The 24655-nt window shown below is 45.5% G+C and overlaps 2 protein-coding genes across 11 annotated transcripts in view, besides 2 other annotated features; both read right to left on the reverse strand.

The window, feature by feature from the left end:
- BEND2 (BEN domain containing 2) overlaps positions 1-255 on the reverse strand; it is a 57956-nt gene extending 57701 nt beyond the window's left edge. For all 5 annotated transcript variants that reach the window (XM_017029266.2, NM_153346.5, XM_011545447.2 and 2 more), the window contains exon 1: positions 95-255. In XM_017029266.2, the coding sequence (XP_016884755.1) occupies positions 95-119 (25 nt within the window). In that variant the 5' untranslated portion in view covers positions 120-255. The remainder of the gene's footprint in view (positions 1-94) is intronic.
- Positions 5444-5945: an enhancer, noted in NCBI's record as "H3K4me1 hESC enhancer chrX:18244195-18244696 (GRCh37/hg19 assembly coordinates)". NCBI's record gives its function as "activates a minimal SCP1, AML or CMV promoter by ChIP-STARR-seq in naive H9 embryonic stem cells {active_cell/tissue: H9 hESC(naive)}" and the evidence as "EXISTENCE:reporter gene assay evidence [ECO:0000049][PMID:30033119]".
- Positions 9083-9749: an enhancer, noted in NCBI's record as "H3K27ac-H3K4me1 hESC enhancer chrX:18247834-18248500 (GRCh37/hg19 assembly coordinates)". NCBI's record gives its function as "activates a minimal SCP1, AML or CMV promoter by ChIP-STARR-seq in primed H9 embryonic stem cells {active_cell/tissue: H9 hESC(primed)}" and the evidence as "EXISTENCE:reporter gene assay evidence [ECO:0000049][PMID:30033119]".
- The window catches only part of SCML2 (Scm polycomb group protein like 2), a 115806-nt gene continuing 109832 nt past the window's right edge, over positions 18682-24655 (reverse strand). For 4 of the 6 annotated variants that reach the window (XM_017029219.2, NM_006089.3, XM_017029220.3 and 1 more), the window contains 2 exons: positions 21808-21959; positions 18682-20748 (listed from right to left, as the gene is read on the reverse strand). In XM_017029219.2, coding sequence (XP_016884708.1) covers positions 20620-20748; positions 21808-21959 — 281 coding nt within the window. In that variant the 3' untranslated portion in view covers positions 18682-20619. The remainder of the gene's footprint in view (positions 20749-21807; positions 21960-24655) is intronic. The other 2 variants (NR_033717.2, XM_006724458.1) reach the window with 2 other exon arrangements.

Genomic DNA, 24655 nt, shown 5'->3' on the forward strand with positions numbered 1-24655 from the left:
CGCCCCTGAATGGCCACCTAAGTGGGTGCCATCCAGACTCTTGACAGAACTTGAGGCCCAAGCTAGCGGGCCAGTTGAGGCGAGGTCACTTTACCCTGTTCCTGGGTCCTCTCTGACATCGTGAGATGGCGGGGTCTGGCTCTGAGGCCCGAGACCTGAGGCCCGAGACCTGAGGCCTACGTCTGCGCCGCGGCTCTGAGGTAACTGCTTGGTAACTGTGTGGTAACTGCGTACACTCGTTGTCCGAGGCACAATGAGGCCCGGGCAGGAGCCTGGACCACGTCTCCGCGGCTGCGCAGTAGCGCTTGGCATGCGTGCGTGACTCCTGGGGGTCAAAGGGCCTCGCCCTCTCCCCCACTTTTGACCTACTTTCTTAAAGAGTCCCTTTTACAAAAATATACATATGTATGTATATATATATTTGTACTATATATGTGTGTGTGAATATATGTAGATATAGATACAGAAGTAGAGATAGAGATAGAGATAATGAACTGGAAGCCAACAGTGTAATTCTGCTCGTCCCAAAACGCACATCATAAAAAAAAAGTCCAATGTAAGAGACTTTCTAAATCTTCCTGCGGGACTCTCAAAGGCAGCCCTTCCTTTGCCGCACTCGGGGAGAGCCGGGAGGGAGGCGATCCGCCACCAGCCAAATCAGGGCCTTTCCTCTTAACGACCACGCGGCAAGGGGGCCGGGCCCTCGCACACCTCGATGGCCTCCCCCACTCCAAAGGGACTCCGATTTCGCAGGATCTCCCAACTTCCGCCTCTGTTCCCAACACCCTACGTGTTTCTCTTCCTCCTCGTTCAGACCCTCTAGTGTTTTCCAGGTTGCTTCCTCATATCCGATACCGGCTTTGGGAACAAATCCGAAAACAAGCCAACTTTGAAAATGTGCCCCTAATAAATACCTAGCAACCCCTCCCCTCCTTCCTGCCCCCTCTAGTAGTCTGCAGTGTATTGTTTCCATCTTTGTGTCCCTGTGTACCGGATCTTTAAGCTCCTGCTTACAAGTGAGAAGATTCGGTATGTGGTTTTCTGTTTCTGTGTTAATTCACTTATGAGAAAGGCCTCCAGCTGTGTACATGCTGCTGCAAAGGACATGGTTTTGTTCTTTGTTATGGCTGCATAGTATTCCATGGTGTATATGTACCACATTTTCTTTATTCAGTCCACCATTGATGGGCACCTAGATTGATTCCATGTCTTTACTATTGTCTTCACATCTTTCAAAACCTCTCTCGGTACTACATCTGTTCGAATAATACCTCCATCAAGACACTTTCCTATAGCCCCCTGGTAAGAAGGATCCCACAGCAGGTAATCTTCACGTCCCTATTAGTATTTAAATTACTTTGCCTGACATTATAAATCCTCGTCAACATGCCTCTCTCCTAAGTTCCTGGAGGACAGCACCATGTCTTATTTATATTTGAACACCACCTCCCTCACAAGATTCTAAGAATTAAATGTTATAAAATAGAAAGCACCCAGTGCCTGGAATTTGGGATCCATTTCTTCACTGTGTCAGTTACACAATGACTCTTGTGACTGTGTGTCTCCTCATTTGGGGGAAGGGTAAGAATTTCTTTACTTGTGAGAAGCAAAGGTGTATATTGTTAGGTAGAAACACAGACTTGTTTTGCTATCGTTCCAGAGTGTACATATGTGTAGGAGGATGCATAGAGAAACTGAGGGCTGAAATGGATACACTGTGCTGGTTACCAATGTGTTACCTCTCACCTCCAACTTCACCCACTTTTGCCGACTCTGTGAAAATGGATGTGGGCCCTTTAAATATTTTTCCCTTTGCCAGTGACACAATTTAAGCCTTTGGCAGTAGAAGGTGCTAAAAGGAGAATGTAGGAGGAAAGAGTTTTTTTGCCTCCTGGTTGACCTGTGCTCTCTGAGGACATTGATGCAAAGTGTAGCTTTCTCCTGCAGGAGAGGGCAGATTTCCAGTACTTTAAAGAGGGCATATTTGCAGCAAGTTCGTGAAGTTGCAAGGTTGGGTTTCCAGCAAATTCCAGAGAACAGATTTACAGCAAAGTCCACCAGTGCAGCCATTCAGTGAGTCTTAGACACTGTGTCTCAACCCTAAGGGTAGGGCCTGTTTCTTATACCTGTAATTTGTAAAGAATATTTTAGAGTTTTCTTATTAGCTAATCTCTCATTACTCCAGTCCTCTTTTATATTTAATATATTTTTCTTTTTTTTTTTCTGAGACAGGGTCTGGCTCTGTCATCCAGGCTGGAGTACAGTGACTCAATCATGGTTCACTGCAGCCTGGATCTCCCGGGTTCAAACGATCCTCCCACATCAGCCTCCCGAGTAGCTGGGACTACAGGCGTGCGCCACCATGCCCAGCTAATTTTAATTTTTTTTGTTGAGGTGGGGTCTCCCGATGTTGCCCAGGCTGGTCTCAAACTCCTGGGCTCAAGTGATCCTCCCACCTCGGCCTCCCAAAATGTTGGGATTACAGGCATGAGACACCACACCCAACCAATAATTCTTTACATTAAACTTTCCCTGTTCAAATTACTGCATGGTATTTCTCTTCATATTGGACCTGGAGGGATGCACCCACCTTTTGGGATTTCCTTTTAGCACACAGTACTCAACAGGTACACAAGTTTGTTCATGGACTGTAATTGAATAGCCAACAGATACTCAGTAATCCCCTTCAGTTTAATTTCTGGTCAGTCCTCTCCATTCATTTGCCTGACCTCTGTTCTCCATGGAAGGAGATGGGAGGGAGGGAAGAAACACTTTCCTACTGTCACACCTAAGACTGGTTTTCCATTTCCTGTCCTGCCTAAGCTACATTAACCTGAGCAGGGAAGAACCGCAGGCAAGGGAGGCTTCCCAGCGATGGGAGAAGTGAGAGGAGATGCTGCAAAGCTGTCTGTTCCCAGGTGCAAGCTGGACCACGGCAGCTACAGAGCAGGTATTTCTGTCAACAGCCAATACAGTCACGGCAATGTGGAGTTCCACAGACTGTAATTGTGGACTGGTGAACATCTTCTGAAAGACAACTTTTTAAAAAGCTGGATGCAATGTTTTTTAAATATTATAGCATTAGGCCGGGCGCGGTGGCTCACGCCTGTAGTCCCAGCACTTTGGGAGGCCGAGGCGGGTGGATCACGAGGTCAGGAGTTCAAGACCAGCCTGGCCAAGATGGTGAAACCTGGTCTCTACTAAAAATACAAAAATTAGCCAGGCGTGGTGGCAGGTGCCTATAGTCCCAGCTACTCGGGAGGCTGAAGCAGGGAATTGCTTGAACCTGGGAGATGGAGGTTGCAGTGAGCCGAGACCACGAAACTGCACTCCAGCCTGGGCGACAGAGCAAGACTCTGTCTTAAAAACAAAAGCATATATATATATATATATATATATATATATATATATATATATATACCATTAAAGAATATCATAAAGTTAACAATTACTGAGCTAAGATCTGAGAAAGACCCAAAACCTAGATAGGTGTGAGAAACTGAAAGCATTGCTTTTGTTCTTGGACATTTGCTGATGCAGAAGAGGCCAAAGGAGGCTGAGCTACACGTTGGGTGGTTTTGTGGGACTGAGGAACAAAAGTTGGAATCTGGGACCCACCAAAGGAGGAGAGTTTGCAAACCACCTCCCACCTCAAACTGGGATCACAAAGAGACAAATCTTCAGAGTAAAGGTAACCAAAAATTAACCACGTAGTCTCTAGATCAGCCTCATGTCACCTGCGAATTTAGCACTCCCAGGTGCCTGCATAAAGCAAGCAGATATTCTCTCTTGCAAAGATAATGGTAACTTATTTCTACAAAGAATTACTTATTTTATTTATTTATTTTCAAAGATATTCTTTTAAAAATTTTTTATTTCAATAGCTTTTGGGGTACAAGTAGTTTTTTGTTACAGGGATGAAATATATAGTGGTGAATTCTGAGATGTTACTGCATTCGTCACCCGAGTAGTGTACACTGTACCCAATCTGCAGAGTCTCACTCTGTTGCCCAGGCTGGAGTACAGTAGCACAGTCTCGGCTCACTGCAACCTCTGCCTCCCAGGTTCAAGTGATTCTCCTGCCTCAGCCTCCTGAGTAGCTGGGACTACAGGTGCGCGCCACCACGTTTGGCTTATTTTTGTATTTTTAGTAGAGACAGGGTTTCACTATGTTGGCCAGGCTGGTTTTGAACTCCTAACCTCTGGTGATCTGCCAGCTTCAGCATCCCAAAGTGCTGGGATTACAGGTGTGAGCCACTGCAGTTTTTTTAATTCCACACCGTCCTCCCACTCTCCTTTTTCTGAGTCTCCAATGTCCATTATACTACTCTGCATGCCTTTGTATACCCATAGCTTAGCTCCCACTTATAAGTGAGAACATGCAGTATTTGGTTTTCCATTCCTGAGTTACTTCACTTACAATAATAGCCTTCAGCTCTGTCCAAGTTGCTGCAAAAGACAGTATTTCTTTCCTTTTTATGGCTGAGTAGTATTCCATGGTGTATATATACCACATTTTCTTTATCCACTCATCGGTCAATGGGCACTTAGGTTGGTTCCACATCTCCGTAATTGTGAATTGGGCTGTAATAAATCTATGTGTGGCAGGTGAATCACTTGAGGTCAGGAGTTCAAGATCAGCCTGGCCAACATGGTGAAACTCCATCTCTACTAAAAATACAAAAAAACAAAAAAATTAGCCAGGCATGGTGGTGGGCACCTGTAATCCCAGCTACTCAGGAGGCTGAGGCAGGAGAATTGTTTGAACCCGGGAGGCAGAGGCTGCGGTGAGTCGAGATCACGCCTTTGCACTCTAGCCTGGGTGACAAGAGCAAAACTCCGTCTCGCAAATTAAATAAATAAACAAACAAATAAATAAATCTGCATGTACATGTGTCTTTTTCATATAATGACTTATTTTCCAGTAGTGGGATGGGTTTGCTGGGTCGAATGGTAATTCTACTTTTAGTTCTTTAAGGAATCTCCACTTTGTTTTCCATAGAGTTTGTACTAATTTACGTTCCCACCAGCAGTGTTTATAAGCGTTCCCCTGTCACCATGTGCATGCCAACGTTTATTGTTTTTTGAGTTTTTAATAATGGGCATTACAAAGAATTTTGAAATAGAATATCCAGCATAAAATGAAATAGAACCAGATATAGGAGGAGATAAGACAGCAGGAGAAAGAAGAAATGGAAACATCTATACTGGGGGACACGGGCCTTCTGCCGCCCCCTACCCCCCACTCCCCAACAACCACAGGTATCTTCCTGCCAGAGTGGTCCTGGCATGGGCGCTGGCCTAGCCATCTCAGTCCTCTGAAGGAAGCTAGCTCTGTGAGCCTCTTGGGACATCCCGGGGGAGGACCCAGACTGAAAACCCTGGAGGGTCCAAGTTTTCAGAAGGGAGCCTCCTCACCCTTCATTCATGGGAAACCTCCGTGTCCCAGCAAAGCTGGGAAGAGAGAAGCTCGCTGGCCTGGGAGTTGGCAGCTTCAGTGGCAGGCTAAAATGAAAGCTGGGGACACAGCGCACTGCAAGGTGTGGAGTTGAAGCAGAGGCCTTGACGTTTCTGGGGAGGAGAGGAACAGAGCAAGTGAAGGCTGGGGATCTTGGAATGCAACTCATGGAAGGAGGGAACGCATTCCCCAGGGGAGCTGGAGGAGGGAAGGGGTGGCAGGAGTGCAGGCCCAGACTGGCAGCCTCTGCCCTCGAGCAAGTGGGGAGGGAAAGCCAGGGCACTCCCACAACACAGCCTGTATTGGTCACTCTGCCAGACACCGGGTTCCCCACCCCGGCTGCACCCCAGGATCACCAGGGGAACTGTCAAGACCCCTGATGCCCAGCCTGAGCCCACAGATGCCCATGTGCCTGGTGGGGGCAGCCAACTCGGGGTTCAGAAGCTGCAGGCGCCTCTCATGGTGGCCAGGCCGGATCACCTACTTGCAGCTCCACGCACTGTCAGCAACAGGATCAGGACGTTGAAGCCTCACACCGACCAACGAGGCAGGTTCCTAGCATCAACCTAGTTGATGTGCAGTGGAAGCAAGCAGGCCTTGCCCTGCCTGCTGGGCCTGCAAGAAGAGGGGAAGAGTTGACTTAAATGCAGCCCACAGGACACGAGAGGGGACAATATGGCCAGAGAGCAGCATCCAGCTGGCCATGGCGCCACTCTCCACTTGTTTCCACTCCACTCCATTCAAACTCCTGCCACCCCGGGGGGTCCATCTCACCAGGCACAGTGGTCGTCACCCGTGGCCTGGAGCCCCGGACACAGCTCCAGTGGCCTGGCCAAGGTGTGCAACGCCATGCTTTCATGAGGCCCTGAGAGCCTGCTGCTTTGTTGACCCCAGTGTTTGCAGTGGGTTTTTGGCCCTAAGGGCAGCAGGTTTGACAAAGGAGTGTGTATTAGTCAGGGTTCTCCAGAGGGACAGAACTAATAGGATAGATGTATATATAAAGGGGAGTTTATTAAGGAGGATTGACTCACACGATCACAAGGTAAAGTCCCACAATAGACCATCTGCAAGCTGAGGAGCAAGGAAGCCAGTCTGAGTCCCAAAACCTCAAAAGTAGGGAAGCCAGCAGTGCAGCCTTCAGTCTGTGGTCGAAGGTCCAAGAGTCCAAAAGCTGAAGAACTTGGAGTCCGATGTTTGAGAGCAGGAAGCATCCAGCATGGTAGAAAGATGTAGGCCAGAACACTAAGCCAGTCTAGTCCTTCCATGCTCTTCTGCCTGCTTTTATCCTGGCCGTGCTGACAGCTGATTAGATGGTGCCCACCCAGATTGAGAGTAGGTCTGCCTCTCCCAGTCCACTAAGTCAAATGTTAATCTCCTTGGCAACACCCTCACAGACACACCCAGGGACAATACTTTGCATCCTTCAATCCAATCAGGTTGAAACTCAATATTAACCATCAGTGGGTATGTTCTTTGTAAGGACAGGGAAAGGCCCAGAGGAGCTGCAGAGCAGCACCGAGCTCCGGCCATCGGTTGTGAAAGCTGGATCCCATGTGTTCATGGGCACAGACACGTGTCTGTGTGTGAGTGTGTGCATGCGTGTGTCAGAGAGAAAAAGAGAGAGGAGGGAGGGAGGAAGATGGATGGGGTTGAGATGGCGATGAAAAGGGGAGACAGGCTGAGCATGGGACAGAGTGACAGGCTAGCACCTCACCATTTCTGTGTTACCTACAAAACGGTGACCTTAGTAGAGTAAAATTTGCCTGAGAACTTCACCCTGTCTCCCAGGCTGAGTCTAGCACTCAGCCTCCTGGGGGGCGGGTAGCAGAGTCTTAGGTGTGCCCCAGAGGTGGTGGAAGGTGGCAGCACCTCCAGCTGGAGGAGGCCTCCTAATTAGGCGCAACCTGAGCTGTCACCTCCTCCGACCCCATCAGCCCATGCTGATTGCCACCAGGTGCATGACTCTGGGGCACACCTCTCACTCACCTAGCTCCTGGTGGGGAAGCAAATCCCATGTGGCTTCCTCCCGCGCCTGCGTTTGGGTGGGGGAACCGGCCTGCACCATCCTACCCTTTCAGGGCCCCAGGAGACTGGGCCCCAGCGCACTTTGCCTTCCTGCTCGCCCAGTTCAACAGAGTCTGCAGCCTCGAATCCAGATCACAGAGGGCCAGGCTACAGTGACCTTTCTGGATTCTGTACCTTGACGTTTTCATGCCGAGAAAGCAAACAGGAAAGACGCCTTTTGAACGCTGTAGTCAAAGTTTCCGCTAAGACCACTGCAGAAAGCTCAGCTTCTCAGACCTCAGGCAAGCTTGAAAGTACTTTCCTCTACCATTTTAAAGAGAAAGGGAGTTGTGCTTCACTCGCGGTCATTAACCCAACAACTTGGGCTAGTCTCAGAGGGACACTTGCTCTTCTGAGCACAGCCCAGGAAAAGGCAGAAAGAAATTATTCGAGTGGACCCCAAGGAAAATACGCTGTTGGGATGCACATCCTAGGTAGTGCGCGGAGCAGATGGTCAGCTCCTGTTGGCTGAGAGCTCCAGAGCTCCCAGAATACCAATCTGATTGTGTGGCCTCCCGCCATTGATCACCCTTCAGTTGATTCCCACAGCTCCTGGGATCCCATTCAAAGCCGACCCAAGGTCCTTCCTGCTCCAGGCCCTGCTCAGCTGTCCAGAACCCAAGCTCAAAAGAATTTGGAGAAGGAATTTAAAGTCTTCCTTAATAGTAAGGTTTCCTGGGGCTGCAGTTCCACTGTGTGTGTGGCTGGGTGAGCTGTGGCCAGGCTGTAGAAAAGGGAGTAGCAGGGGAGTGGGGGTGGGAAAGGCAGGGAGACAGGCAGAGACAGAGTGGGCACCCTTTGGGATGAGGCACTTCCCCTTCTTGATCTCCCTGAACTGTCAGGGGAGGGGCGATCCTCATTGGACCAAGCAGAAAACAGACTCGGATTGCCTGAGCCCTGTGACAAAGCCACACAGGCAGAGGTGGCAGAGGAGGGGGGCCCAGCTCTGAGTGCCTTGGGCAGGTCTTTCCCTCTCCAACCCCTTTCTTAAAGGCTCTGAGGTTCTTGGACGGAGGAGGGGCCCTGAAAGGAGAGGCAAGGAAAGCGCCATGGAGGGGCCTCCGTGGACAGGGCCAAGCCAGCGGGAGCCAGCCCTGAGAACAGGCGGCGCCCATGGGCCCTCCGCAGGCCCCCAGCAGGAACTGGTAGACCGTCTGCGTGCACTGGAATTTCTGACTTGGTGTGGGTTTGGTGACCCGCGCACGTGTTGGTACGGGAGTCTGTGTGTTGCCTTCACCCAAGGGGCACCCTGTCCTGGACTCCCGCCTCCCTGGCTTCCAGTGCTGGGCCTCTGCTCTCTGTGGCCCCCTGACCCTGGCACCCCCCGTGGATGGCTTGAGAAGCCTCTGCACCTCCCCTCCAGGCTCCACGACTCCTCCCCCTGCAAAATGACGCCAACTGCTGTTGGACCCCGGCCCCGTGGCCCAAGGGCTATCTCTGATGGTCTCCATTTTCACTGCCCTCTCCAGCCCCGCCGCTGCACCAGGAGATCAAGCTCCCCAGCCCTCTCACTGAGCCCCCGGCCCTCACCCGCGAATCCCATCTGAGCAGTCCTCCTGCCTCTCAACCTGCCTCGGGGCACGGTGTCCTCTAAACAACCCCCTTCCAACCTGAGCTCTTCGCGCCTCTCTTACGTGTAGACAGCGGCTCCTGGTGCCTGAAGCCAAGCCCTGTCTACAGGCCAGGAGCCCCAGCTCCCTCCCCCGACGGCAACACGACAGCAGGACCAGCCCACCCCGAAGGACAGCCAAGCCCCTGGCCGGAGGCTTGCCTCACACGCTTGCGGCCGCGTGTTTTCTTCTCCAGCCACTCAAATTCTCACGTTTCTTTTCCTCCCTGAACCCACCCCCCAGTCCCTCCTTCCACCACCTTCCGCCTCGTGGGTCCTGCAAGCGCAGTTAGCCACAGCCGACCACCGGCTTTCTGCAGTCCAAATCCACTGGCTCCTCCCAGCTTTCCTCTGCCTTGGGGTCCCGTGAATTTCAGCGTGCATGGCCACTCCTGCTGAGCTGTGTCTTGACTCCTGGAATTCACTTCTTCATTGAACACATCCTCACTGAGCACCTCCAGGGCGCCATGCACAATCATGAGGCGGGGACAGAGAGAGGCGGGGACAGAGCGGGCAGCCGCACACACCAGGCCTTGACCTTGACCTTCTGGTCAGCAAGGGGAGGGAAAACAGAAATGAACAAAATTCTTTCCGAAGGCGTGTGAAAGGGGATGACAAGGAAGGGAGGACGTGCCAAGAAGGACAGTCACAGAAGACTTCTCTGAGAGGCCACATTGGAACTGAGACATGAATTGTTCAAAGAGGAAGAAGCCCCAACACCTGGGAACAGAGAAACCCAGGAAGAGCCACTGCAAGGCGAGGCCTGAATTCAGGAGGAAGCTGGACATGCGGAAGCCTTGGAGAAATGGCCAGGGCAGCTTCACAAGAGTGGCCGAGAAGAGAAGGATGGGTCCAATATTCAGTAAGGGTCAGAATCAAGTAAGACAACTAGAGAAGGGAAGGAAACACATCACGGGTAGATATGGACCCTACTAAAACAGAAAGACATGGACAGGAGCAGAAGAGGTGTGAGGATGGAGCACAGAAAGACAGAAGAGACGGGCGGGGGCAGATCCTGTGTGAGTACCAATGAAAGGAAGACAGGAAGAGATGGTCAGAGCCACATCATGTGTTGGCATTGAGTGTAATACAATAAGGCATAGGCTGGGCATGGTGGCTCATGCCTGTAATCCCAGCACTTTGGGAGGATGAGGCAGGCAGATCACTTGAGGTCAGGAGTTTGAGACCAGCCTGGCCAACATGGCAAAACTCCGTCTCTACTAAAAATACAAAAATTAGCCGGGCGTGGTGGTGCGCACGTGTAATCCCAGCTACTCGGGAGGCTGAGACAGGAGAACGGCTTGAACCTGGGAGGCAGAGGTTGCAGTGAGCCAAGATCTCGCCACTGCACTCCAGCCTGGGTGACAGAGCAAGACTTTGTCTGACAAAAAATAACATAAAAGAAACTTCAGTGCCTTTTGTTCATGTGACTTTAGCAATCTTTTGGAAATAAAGACAGTTTTAAAAATTATTGGTTAACGAGGTGTGGTGGCTCACGCCTGTAATCCCAACACTTTGGGAGGCAGAGGCCAGCAGATCATTTGAGGTCAGGAGTTTGAGACCAGCCTGACCAACATGGTGAAATCCCATCTCTACTGAAAATACAAAAAAATTAGCCGGGCGTGGTGGCACACACCTGGAATCTCAGCTGCTTGGGAGGCTGAGGCAGGAGAATCACTTGAACACAGGAGGCAGAGGTTGCAGTGAGCCGAGATCACAAAAAATAAAAGTTGCTAAGAGTTAACACTGTAATATGTAATTGACACTACTGGAGAAACAGTTTTACATACAAGGTGTGTAAGGAAAGTATAATGTTTCTTTAGTAAAAGATTAGAAGGAAGCATGGGAATATGGCTTTTGTTAAAGGGAATGTAATTTTGTCTAGTTCAGAGGGTTTTAAAGATTGTCTTCACCTAAAAGAGTAGAGGCAAAACTGAAGGTTTAAGCAAGGTGAAAAGGGTTTGTGAAGCAGCAGATGGCAAACCCACACTCATGACTCTTCCCTGAGGGCGCTATTGACACAGGCAGGACTAGAGAGGGGTAGAATGGCAAAAAGAGGAGGGGAAAAGACTCAGGGATGATGAGCAGGAGATGGCTGTGGCTTGGAGGTGGAGACATTAGCTGACGGTTGGATACACGGGCCAGGAACACAAGGAGAAAGTTCAGGAAAGAAGCTTTGCCTAGAAAGGTGGTGGTGGTGGTGATCGTTGATTTTGTTGTTAGTGCCTCAGAGGGTCTCATTAACTTCCAACTTTCTGCCGCAGACCATAGCCTGTACTGTGCTTTCTGACATTCAGAGGGTTCTTGGTAGCGTAGTAGGTACCCAATTTTGTGAACGTTCTATGGAGTCCTGAAAAGGCTGTGTTCCCTTTTTGAATTTGATGTCTATTAATAATGCCTTTACAATGATACCAATATCTGCCATTAATTTTGCATACATCTATCAAAAGCTGAGAACAAAGTCTTTCATTCCTGTTGCCTTTCTATTAAATTATCCATAAGGTTCATCTGGTCCTGCTTTCTGCTGTTGATTACGTGTAATTGATCATACACAAGTTCATAATCTGCACTTGAACCTCTTACCAGGTAGCCAGTCCTGAGGTACTGACTGCTTTTTGCCTCTAATTCTCCCTCACCTGGATCAGTAATATGATGGTGGCACTTTCTGTTTGCTTGCTGATGAGTTTCTGTCCAGTCCTTTATTTATTTAAGAGACAGGGGTCTCCCTATGTTGCCCAGGCTGGTCTCGAACTCCTGGGCTCAAGCAACCCTTCCGCCTCAGCCTGCCCAGTAGCTGGGATGACAGCAGGCACCACCATGCCCGGCTGGACCTTTTATTCTAATATTTAAGGTAAATGATGAGGTAGGTAAAAGCCTAAGATTGTTTTTAAAATAAATCCTGGAATCTTTTTAACGTGGGCGTTTAATCTGTTTCTATGTAATGTCATTACATTAAGTTGGTCTTCTGACATACGTTATGTTTTTTCCTTATGATTTGGCTGTTTCTGCTGCCTGCTAAATGGCAATGTTTTATTGCCTTTTGTCTTCTACAGTGATTTGGACATGATATAGCCTGTGTTCTTGAAATTGAACAATTATTATAACAGCAGTATACTGCAGAGAAATCAGAGAGTGAGGATAAGCAAAACGAAGAGAACATGGCTAGAATCCCACCTGCCCCTCCACACCCATTATAGACGGGTTGATGTGTATCTTCCAACATCTTCTAGACATATAAACAGATCTGAGTATGAACACATAATGGGATCCCCTGGAGAAGGAATGCTACAAATCTGCCTGTGACCTGCTTTGATCAACATATCGTGTATTTTTCCATGTGAATAAATGACTTTCCCCTGTATAATTTTTCATGACTGCAAATGTGTCCCATTGAATGAGTATAACATAATTTCAACAGTTCCCCTATTGTGGACTTGTTTATGAGCCCTTTGTCATTGCTAACAATATTGTGATGAACAGGCTTGCTAATACCTTACTCTTTGAGCACGTGGTTACTTCTGCAGGATACATTGGAAGTAGAGAAATTACTAAATCAATAGGTGTGTGCCTTTTTCAGGCTTTTTCTGTGACGCCTAACTGCCTTCTGGACATGTTACACCAAATTCACGTACCGTTAGCATGAGTATTTGACATTGCTTTGACCTTTGCTAAATTTTGTTTCAACTTTTCTTTTAGATTCAGGGAGTGCACGCGCAGGTTTGTTACCTGGGTATATTGTGTGACGCTGAGGCTTGGGGTACAAATGATCCCGTCACCCAGGTGGTGAGCATAGCACCCAACAGTGAGTGTTTCAGCCTTTGCTCTCTTCCCTCCCTCCCCCATCTAGTAGTCCCCACTCTTTTATTGCTGCCATCTTTATATCCATCAGTACCCAATGTTTAGCTCCCACTTACAAGTGAGAACATGCAGTATTTGGTTTTCTGTTCCTGCACTAATTCTCTTAGGATTATGGCCTCCATGACTTTGCTAAATTTATAAAAGGTGAAGAATCACACACACCCCGTTTTACTTCGTGTTTCTTTAGTCACTGGCAAAGCTCAACATTTTTCATGTGTGGTATCAGCCCACAAGTTGACCTGCAGTGATCCCCACCCCCTGGTAGTCCCGTTCCTGTGTAATCCACCCCACAGTGAATCAGGGATGGTCTGCGGGCCAACAGAAGACAGCAGAAGTCGTCACTTCTGACCCTAGGCTACAAAAGACAGTATTTGTTTCCTGTAATTCACATGTTCCTTGTTGCTGAACCTGTGCTCAATTTTGTGAAAGGTCTTCGGATGCCTCTGCCTCTCTCCTGAATCGCTTCTGCCTCCCATCCGCCACAGTCTTGGGAGCCTTGTACCGGAGGGAATAGGTGGCTGAGGTGGCAGCCCCATGAGAATGGAGGCCTTCTGCCAAAAGCCACAGTGGAGTCAAGGGCTCCAGTCAACGTGTGTGGGTGACCAACCATCCCAGGACTGCGGGGTGAGCCAGGGCACAAGCCTCTCAGCGCTAACTCCGGGGACAAGCTGGTCATCCTATACATGAGTGAGCCGTCTGGGAAGCAGAGGCCCGTCCTAGTCAAGCCTTGAGATGACTGCAGTTCCAGCCGACAGTGAGTATATGACCTGCAAGATCCTGGGGCAGAACCACGTGGCTGAGCGGCGCCCAGATTTCTGATCATCAGACCCTGCGTGAGATCATGAGTGTTTGTTGTTTTAAGCTGCTAAGTTTGGGGGTAATTTTGTTCCACACAAGTAATACATTATTTTTTTAAAACATTTTATAAGGATTTAATATGTGATAAAGGTGATCAATTTACCCTTTGGGAAAAGTGTAGGAACAATTGGTTTATCCTGGGGAAAAGATAAAGGTTTTCAATCAAATGATCACCAGAAGTACTGAGGATGTCTTGAAAAGAAAGCCACTGACCTACTGGAAGAGGGTGTATCTTGACAGAAGTTCACTCCTGCTCAGGGTCTTTGGCCTTCAACACACACCTCCCTTGACCCCTGCCCATCATCCTTCAGGTCTTGGCGGAAACAATGCTTTCTCCACAAGCCCTGTACAATCTTCTCAGCCAGGTAGAGGCTGCCTGGTGGATCTCTCATGGCTACGCCACCTGCCGCATTTTGCACACTCATGAGTTACGTAGGTGTTTGTATGTTTCATGCTGTCTTCCCAGATAGACTGTGAGCATCCTGAGGCTGGGGATGGTGCCTGTGCTGTGCACTCTCTCATGCCCAGCTGCCTGCCAGTCTGCAGTGCTTTATGGGGCATTTTCCTCCCTGACTTCCTGGTTCTTTGACACGGGGTTTGAAAACTCCACTTGGCAGTGTGTGCTCCCATCAGGGCTCTTCTGTTTCAGCTTCCACCTGCAGTGCTGTGCCTGTGGGGTCCACATGTGCTACCCACGCCCCAGCTCCAGGAGTTGCAGCCGCCTCCTTGGCTAGGGTTTGCTGAGTGTTTTGGAATTGACATAACCCGAAGGAACAACGCAAGGGGTGCAGCATGGCCACATCCCAAATGACCATACTACATGGCATCTGAAGACGCCATGGATTGTAAAACCCATCCAGATGTCAGACACGTTCATGCCTGGGAAAAAAAAGAACATCTTAGAATTGATGATGTACGTATTTTCTCAATCCAGCTTCAAGGGCCTGAGAGTTGTAGAAATATTTCCCAGATGGGCAAAAGCTTGCCTGCCCTTCTTAGTTTTCAGGGGTACCCTGTGTTCTGGTCATTTTCTTTTTCCAAAAGGTATTTAGTGAGAAGGCGAGAGTGAGTGACTCAATGGCTGCCAGCAAGATGTCATGTTAAACCAGTGGCTGGTTGGGGATTTTACAGTTTTTAATTCTCTTCAGAGCCACACCGTCCTCCAATAACTCCCTCTTTCTTCCTATAGTTTCAGTGCTTGACTGGCTGTATGTAAAACACAGAAGTGAAACCAATCAGAAAATAATCCGAAGGCCAAATGGCACCTTATGTCAGTCATTCACTGACACTTGTGGAATGGCTCTGTATGTGTTTGCTACTTAAAAACAGCCTCAATCTGATTCCCAGGATTACGATTCTATCAACAAGTAATTGATTCCTGATGGCAAGAGTCAAAACTGGTGAAACTCACTGCTCTCATGAAGAGTTCATTCTAGTGGGGAAAGACATCCAATATGCAAATAAATAAAAAAGTGAATGAATGAATGAACCGTGGCAGGAAATGTATCAGTTGCATCTCACCATATTTTTGAGCTATGGTAATGAATCCCCAAATCCACTAAAGACAAATTCACGTGGTGAATCCCCATCTCCACTAAAAATAGAAAAATTAGCCAGGTGTGGTGGTGCGCACTTGTAATCCTAGCTACTCAGGAGGCTGAGGCAGGAGAATCGCTTGAATCCAAGAGGCGGAGGTTGCAGTGAGCTGAGATCGCACAACTGCACTCCAGCCTGGGCAAGAGAGAGAGACTCTGCCTCAAAAAAAAAAATAAAAAAATAAATAATAAATAAAACCACCTGTTCAGCTTTTAAGAGCTAACATTTTATGTCTTAAGCCACCCATCTTTTCACATTAACATCTATGAAATCAGTTTGCATTTTTTTTTTTTGAGGCGGAGTCTCACTCTGTCACCTAGGCTGGAGTGCAGTGGCACAATCTCAGCTCACTGCAGCCTCTGCCTCCCGGGTTCAAGCGATTCTCCTGCCTCAGCCTTCAGAGTAGCTGAACTACAGGCGCGTGCCACCACACCCGGCTAATTTTTGTATTTTTAGTAGAGACGGGGTTTCACCATGTTGGCTAGGCTGGCCTAGAACCCCTGACCTCAAGTGACCCGCTCGCCTCGGCCTCCCAAAGTGCTGGGATTACAGGCGTGAGCCACCACGCCCAGCCCAGTTTGCATATTATAATCAATGGTGAGTGATTTAATAGGTAGCATTTTCCTTCACTATTTGGTAAACGATGCATCTTACAATCAACGGGGTCTTAGATTTGATGAAATATACTAGTTCATTTAAACTAGATAATATAAAGGCCACTTTCTGTGGGAGTTTTACTCTTCTTTCTGAACGGTGGGCCACCTCTACAGGACAGATACGCTGAAGAAGGTAGACAAGTCCAGGTCTGGTCAGGGACATATGAGCCATTCTGAATCTTCAGAATGGAAGTGGTTTAATACAGAATCAGAAGCTTATATGGCTCCTGGAAGGCAGGGGCTAAGGTGAGGGAGGAAGTTTCTAGAAACCTAGGACTGCAAGAGTCACAGGGAAGCTCCCCTGCCCCCAGTGGTCTCAGCTGCCTGCACGACTGAAGTGGGTGAGTCTCAAGGTGATATCCAGAGGCTGCTGGCAAACCCCACATCTGCCTCCTGCTGATGCTCGAAAGCCTGTCGTGTGCAGCCACCAGAAGGAAGCAGCTTCTCCTCACCTCCCTCCTCCCCAAATCAGGGCACAGGGTCTCTTGGGGCAGAATCTAAGAATCCAGGTCTACTGGCAAAGGAGTGTGGCAAGTGTCGCGTCCAGGCTTTATGCCTCTAAGGACAGGGAGGAACCAAGAAGGGCTGGGATGGTGGCAAGTACCAACAATGTTCAGCCCTTTGGAACACATCAGTGACTCCGTACATTAACTGCAGAGAAGCTTAATCTTTTTCGTCTTACATGAATATAAAAGGAAGTTGTAAGATATGTGTCCTGCTCCCAATGGACTGATTTCTGCCCCCGTGGAATATGTGCACCCACCTCGCCCCTGACATTAGTGGACTTGGGCCTCCAAGGCTAGCCAAAGCCAGGTGGAAGAGTGAGGCCAAAGGAGGAACAGGGCTTGGCAAGGCCAAAACCCTGCCCTGGCCGCCCCGTTGTCCCTGAGGAATTATTTCCACAAATGCATGTGCTTAAGTGCTTCAGTTCTATGGCAGGAGAACAGGACACACCACTACTGATACATAAGGACACGTCACTTATGGGCACTTGGCACTGACTCATATGCTCTGTCATAAGTGCCCTGATGTTCTCCTTTTCATGAACGCTGGTTTGTCTGTTATGTTCTAGGCAGCTCGAGGGGAGGAGCTAGGTCCCTTCTTTCTTAAAGATCTCCCCTCAATGCTGATAGTATCCCTAAAGGCAGAAAGGTGATCCCATAACACTAGAGTTGCCTCTGTTAGAGCAGGGGGAGTGGCCAAGCTCAATTTGAGCACGTGCTAACTATGGAGTGTCGTTCTTAAGGTTTAGTGGCATCAACCTGCTGACAAAATAGGGCAAACAGAAGAGAGGAAACAGAAGAGAGGAAAGACTGTCCGCCACGTATTCCAACGGTGGGCTCTCGTTTGCACATCCTCTCATACCTAAAGCTCTCCCACATTGCCTGGATCAGCCTCAGGAGACTTTGTGAGCAAGCCCCAGCATCCAGCTATAGCCCCAGAAATTTTAACCTACTTCATGTACTCAGCCAACTGCGAGGACAATCCCTTCTGCAGCTTGAAAAAGCAGTGCTTTTCCTCCCAATTACACTGCCACTACTCACAGTATTTACTTTTTACTTTTGAATATTACAGAAGGGCATGGTGTTTCTATGCCTACAGAGGGAGGCCTTGGTTTAAAAGTTCAGGAAATCCCACTCTAGAACATTTACTGTAAGACATTTCAACAATAAGAAATCACACAGACGAAAGACCAAAGCAAATGCTAGGTGTGCCTGGAAGGTCTTAGAGCTCAAGATGCAGAATTCTGCAGGCTACAAAGCATCAAAGGATGGAATGAGAGGCAAAGCTAGAGGAAGATCATTTCAAGTCTGGAAAATTCACAGGAAGGGTAATATGGCATGATAGTCTATAGACTAAAAGTCTACAAGCCAGATAGGAGAAAAAAGGGGGCCCCGAATCACTCAAGTCTCAGATCACTCAAATCGACACCCCCATTCCAGCCGCTGAGCATCACCCCCGGAGCCTCGGTCAGGGCCCCATTGTCTCCAGTGAATCACAGGACACGCTGCTGGGGAGCAAGAGTAGTGAGGGTTTCTGGGTTCCTCGGGTGGAGCCGCAACTCCTGGGGTGGGGGTAGGGGTTGGATAAGTGAGGCTATGCAACTGTAACCCCAGTCCTCCAAGGGCATCCCACCGGGGCAGCTGGGCCATCTGAAGGCAGAGGGCCAAGAGCAGGTGCATCCAGGAGGCGGCCTCTGGCCCCCAGTGGTAAAAGAGCAGCTGGAGTTGCCAGCCAGGCGTACAGGCTCAGATGGGATGAGATATCTCGGGGCACGGGCATTTTCTAGCACTCTCGCATCACTGATGATATCATAAATAACAAAGGCTCTGAGTACAGATACAGCTCATCGACTGAACTTCTTACAGCCCCCCTGGGGTCTCATTGAAGACCCCTGTAAGAAATCAGCCCTTGGCTCTTAGGCATCTGTTTAGCAGTAGAATCTGGGCAGGTTTTAAAACTCAAGTATTTGGACATGGAAAGCCATAAGCTTACTAGAGTGGCTCTGTTTCAGTTCCAACAAATAGACACTTTAATGTAATGCAGTTAATGATAAATAAAATCACATCTGAGGCTTTGAATGAATCGTTGCGATTAACTTTATTAATATTTTAAAATATGAAAACTGTAAAACATAGTATTTATGTAAACACCTGAGGACTGTTCAAGTGGGTACAGCATCTTCATACAAACAACTTGAAAGAAGACCAAGTTTAAGTAAGAATCTTATGACATGTAAGGAATAACATAAATGAAGCTATTCTTTAAATAGTTGCATTCATGTCTAAAGTACATTTGGTTTTCTAAAAAGAAAATGTACATTCTTGCCCCTGGTGAATATTTTATTGGCATTTACAACAAATGGCTAATACTTTTATAACTGATTCTCATAGCTTATAAACATTACATCAAAGTTACACAAAGTAATAACAATAAACATATAGCACCATTTCCTCTTCAAAGTTCTAACTTATAAAATAAAGCCCCAAACATGGCTGGGCATGGTGGCTCATGCCTGTAATCCCAGCATTTTGCAAGGCCGAGGTGGGCGGATCACCTGAGGTCAGGAGTTTGAGACCAGCCTGACCAACATGGAGAAACCCCATCTCTACAAAATTAGCTGGGCGTGGTGGTGCATTCCTGTAATCGCTGAGGCAGGAGAATTGCTTGAACCAGGGAGGCGAGGTTGCAGTGAGCCGAGATCGAGCTATTGCACTCCAGCCTGGGCAACAAGAGTGAAACTCCATCTCAAAAAAATAAAAATAAAATAAAGCCCCAAACAATAAGTCAGAACTAATATATCTTTCAAAGTGTAGCAGAATAAATGGCTCAGAACTAAGCAAATTAATTAGAAACATTGCATAGGACAGAGAACTTCCCTGTATGGAAACCAATCTACAGATTGTTTCATATCCCCTGAAGAGTAAGCTGAGAGGTACTGGTGATAGCAAACGATGGACATATATTTTTTACGAAATCAAAACATCTAACTATATACATAGTTCATCGTCACCTCTGTGGCAGTGCAAAGTGCCAGATTAAATTCAAGAAAAAAAAGATTTACTTGTGTGTAAACCTACAGGTATAAAACAATATATAAATATGGTAAAGTACCATATGAAGAATAAACACATACAATATATATCTTCAAAAATTTTGGACACAGGTATCTTCATATAGAGATGTAAGAAAAGAATGCCTAGTTAAATGTCCAAGCGTAGTGAAAATATGGAAAGTTTTAAAATAATAGGAATTTCACTGAAAAAATTTAATCTGACTCCATCCAAACAACCCTCGTAGTATAAATATCTCCTGCATAAAATGACAATTCTATCCTATAATTTAAAAAATTTATCAAAAACTGGTAAGAACACTTCATGAAAGCTTATAAGCTTGCTTTTTTCCTTTAAATATGATCAAATACAACATACAGAGAAATAATAAAAGGAAAATAATTTATATGGCTATTCCCTTTCTAGATATACTGATAGAACATGAACAGAACACCACAGAGTATCACACAAAATATCTGAGAAAAGATGATATCTACAGGTGCACCTTTAAATTCTCTAGTGAGGAAAAATTCTCATGGATTTAATTATAGAAGTTGTCAATCCCTGATATTTTCCCCTTTGGGATTTAGCTGTTTTGGTTCTAGATATAAAGGTTAACCAAAATCAAAGGTTTTTCTCTGTTAACTACATTAAGTATATTTGTAAACTGTACAATGAAAATTTAAAAAGACATAAAGAACTGCCAATTTGAATATGCCAATACTAACCTGTTAAATGCTTTTTAAAGAAGTAGACTGGGGGAGTGGCGGCTGTGTCTCCCAAAGCTGGTTGGTGACTCCAGGAAAAAAACAAAGTTGACTGAACTGTTACTACAGTTCTGCAATTCTGATAAAATATTTTTATGGGAACTGTCTACAAAACAAAAACTGCTAAGAGAAATACTTTTAAATTAAAATGTTAACAGTACACCTGAGAATTATGTCCAATCTAAACTTACACATTTTTTTAACTGTATTTTCCTTCTTTAAGCTTTTCAATGTAGTAACACAGCTTTAATGCTGGCCCCAGCTTCAGCCCCATATACTTCATCATCACATCACTCTTGAGTAGGAACAGAGCCTTCCCATCAATTTCCTACAGAGAGAAGGAAATCATAATCATTAATAATGCTTTCATATCAAATTATTTATACATAAGAACATGTAAAATACAGCAGCTGTATACTCCGGATATATATTCTCTGAATATGCTTTATTTCCTGAAAACTATTAAAAATATAATTTATACAGTGAAGCATCATTTGATAATTTATGAATTTAGTTCAAACTTTAAGAAAATTTAATCTTGTATCTTCAAAAAATGTCCCAAGTATCAAACAATCTGACTTTAAATACTGTGTGTTAAATAAAATACTAAATATATCTATGACAAAAGATCAAAAATTATGAATGGTAGAAATGAATTTCAGATGATCAATAACTTTCTGAGAAGGGCCAGGAATATGTCAATATCAATGCAAACTGTAAATGTGCTATACAGTGTTGTCATTATGTTGAAGGCTAATCAGTTAGTTGTCTGAAGCTGGTTAGATGCTAAAACTACTGATTTTCTTGCGATAGTGAAAAGGGTACCTCAGATAATAGATCACTCATTTGATTTGTTAGAAAACACTGAAAATATTACTTAATAGTCACAAGGCATCCTCCTAAAATTCTTTATTACCTTAATCAATTTATGTCATGGAAGCATATTATTTGGTATTTGTGAGTTCCTGTTTAAAAGGATGTACTTAATCTTATAAAGTTGCTGGATTCACTGGAGGAAGGCCACCCTGTAATAGCTTGTGGTCAACCCCTCCTACTCATGGTTCTGGCACTGAGCTGGGAGCAGGTCGGGGAGGATCCTTGTATCTGTCATCACAAAGGGAAGGTACACCTGAGAGTTGCAATGCTGAATCATCGTATCTTGAGAAGTTGAAGCAGTTTGTATTTTAGGCACCTGGATACTCACTTAAAGAACAGACCATTAATCTACCATTTAAGGAACTAATCTTGGGAAAAATAACCTCTCTCACATATGGAAAAATCAGTTGATAGGGTTCCCCCACCATCCACACAGCATCCAAATGAAGGGCCTGCACAGAGGTCATTCAAAGGCATTACGGCAGGAAAACCGGATCAAAAGATACATTACATGTTGCCTGAAGAGGTCGGCGAGGGGGCCTGATATCTGAGGATCTGTATGTTTCATAAACTGTATCACTTCATCCACAGACCAGGTTGAAGGGTCCTTAGAGAAGCCTTGTTTCAGGACACTGGGATCAGGTACAGCTATATAACTTGGAGCTTCAATGGGGGGGAAAAAAGACAAATCATACTTGACCTGATCATTATCCTGAAAGAAGAGATGTTAGGTAGGGAATAATGGTCTCATTCCTGGAACCTTTTGTTAAGTTCCCCAACAAGGTCTCAAGACTCCAACTGTGAAAGCTTATACAAAAATGATGTGAGGATGGCTACATAAGAGCATCCCATCTGACCTCCCCCAAACAACAAAAGCAGGTTCAGACGTTACCTTAAAGCTTCAAAGATCACAAAACAGACTAAGCAATCCAAGCCTCTTTGGCCACAGACAAATACAGCAAAAGATCTGTTACTCGGGTAAAATTAGGTTAATCTAATCTAACCTATGACTTCTCTCTTACTTTAAGTCTTTCAAGGAATTTCAATCTCTCTCTATCTGTCTAGACTAGGTATATTTTACTAGCTAAATCCGATGGAAATTCCCCAAATTTACAGTTAGTTTTTGTTTTGTTTTGTTGTTGTTGTTGTTGTTTTGGTTTTTTTGAGACAGGGTCTCGCTCTGTTACCCAGGCTGGAGTGCAGTGGCACAATCATGGCTCACTGCAGCGCTGACCTCCCAGGCTCAAGTGATCCTCCCACCTTGCCTCCCAAGTAGCTGGGACTACTGACACATGCCACCACTTGCAGCTAATCTTTATATTTTTTGTAGAGACAGGATTTATCCATGTTGCCCAGGCTGGTCTCAAACTCCTGGACTCAAGCAATCTGCCCACCTCAGGCCCCCAAAGTGCTGGAATTACAGGCATGAGCCACCATACCTGGCTAAATTTAGTTTTCTAATTGCTTAAATGTGTTCACTTTAATCAAAGAATTTCAATAATCCCATTATTTTTGATAAACAAATTAGTCCTTTTACCAAATCTCTCTGATGTATCCAATAAGAATATTTTTAGCATCACTTTACTCTTTAGATTCCTGTCTCTCATGGCTTAAATGCTTATCTGAATTTTGAAGAAGACAAGATTATTTTCTGCTAAGCTAGGTCAGAAATAACTTTAACATTTAATTTAACTCCTTTATCATGTTTAATTGCATAGTAATAGATATTTTGGTTGAAGGTTTATACATTAAAAAAATACATAACTGAGACATGAAACAATTTAAGTGCTCATACCTCAAATGGTCTTAGCTGTGCTCTTTACTAAGTTGTGATAAAATCTGTGTCCTGACAAGTATTCATTTACTCAACCAGAGCCCTTAACTCCCTAAAGTTAGTGTGGATAACTGAAGTGAATTTTGTACTTAGCTAGGAAGATTTGTTTTGCTAACCAAGGACTGTCAACACAAATTTGATGTTTTTTTGTGTGTGAATTAGCCAAAGGAGTACCCTTTCTTTCCTATCCTCTGGACTATGGCCATTTTAGAAGCATTTTAAGTATATTTACCTAGGGGAAGGATAAAGAAAAACAGAAAATAAAAGAACTTATAGTGGTTAATTTTTTGTGTGTAGCTCTGAATTTTATTTCTTTCCAACATCACAACGATGATGTGAAATAAAAACTCTATACCAAAATATATTCTCCCCTCCACTCAGAGAAAAAAATGTTGGTCATATCTACAGAGAAATTCTGCTAGGCTGTATCAACCCAAGTAAAAATGATGATGGTGTAGACCATGCTGTGCCTAAGTTAGCATTCTGACAATTTAGACAGAAACACCATCTCCTTTAACTTAACAAAGACACAACATAACATGAAAAAAATCATTGGCAAAGCTAATCATATCTCTAATTTAATGTACATTTTTGTGGAATTTCTGGTTTCTGTCATCATAATCTGGTACATTTATGTTTTGAATAACATGTAACTAGTTTTACAGTTTACTGCAAATAAACTATATGTAAAAAGATATGATTTGGGGTATAAAATTTTATATTAAAAATAAAACCATAAGATTTTCTATTTTTAGTCTATTATGAAAATATAATTTAATTGGGCCTACATCTTCAAAACAATCAGAGAAGTTTGCAAGCATTACATTATTGTTATTCAAATAATTACATGAAACAAACTAATCATGTGAAAAATAATCAAAGTCCAGTCATGCTTTTCTCCTGAACGGCTCTGTCTTATATACACTGGCATATCAATAAATATTTCTAGAATAAATATAATGAAAGTATGAAAGTGATCTGATCCCCCCCCCTCGACATCATTGGATTTCTTTCCTATAATAAAGATCAGCAATATTTTTCATTCAAATAATGGGACAAGGCAGGACAGGAAATTGTGTGAGCATCACTGGCTGTCAGGAGTGGAATTAGCTCTAGGTAACAGTTCAAATGCCTTAAAAATAATAGTAATGACACCTCTAGACAGTTTCTAATGGAAATGCGTATCTATTCTTGGGAGGTGCAAGGAGTACAGAAGTTAAGAGTACAACCCTGGAGTCAGAGTGTTTGAGCTCAAGGACTGGCCCAGCCACTTTCTAGCTGAGGAACCTTAGCCAAATGACTTCAAATTTCTTACCTGAAAATGCTTACCAGCACCTACATTTCAAGGAATTGTTGTAACAATATAATGTAGGAGGCCATATGAAATATTATATCCCTGGCATACATCAGATAGTGATGAAGATGATGATTATTTCTATTACCAGTAAGTAAATTACTAGAAAGCAATGTTATTACTATTAGTCTCTACATTGCTAAGAAGACCAGAAGCTAGCCGTCTGATGCC

The sequence above is a fragment of the Homo sapiens genome, chromosome X, assembly GCF_000001405.40.
Source record: "Homo sapiens chromosome X, GRCh38.p14 Primary Assembly".
NCBI classification, from domain to species: Eukaryota; Metazoa; Chordata; class Mammalia; order Primates; family Hominidae; genus Homo; species Homo sapiens.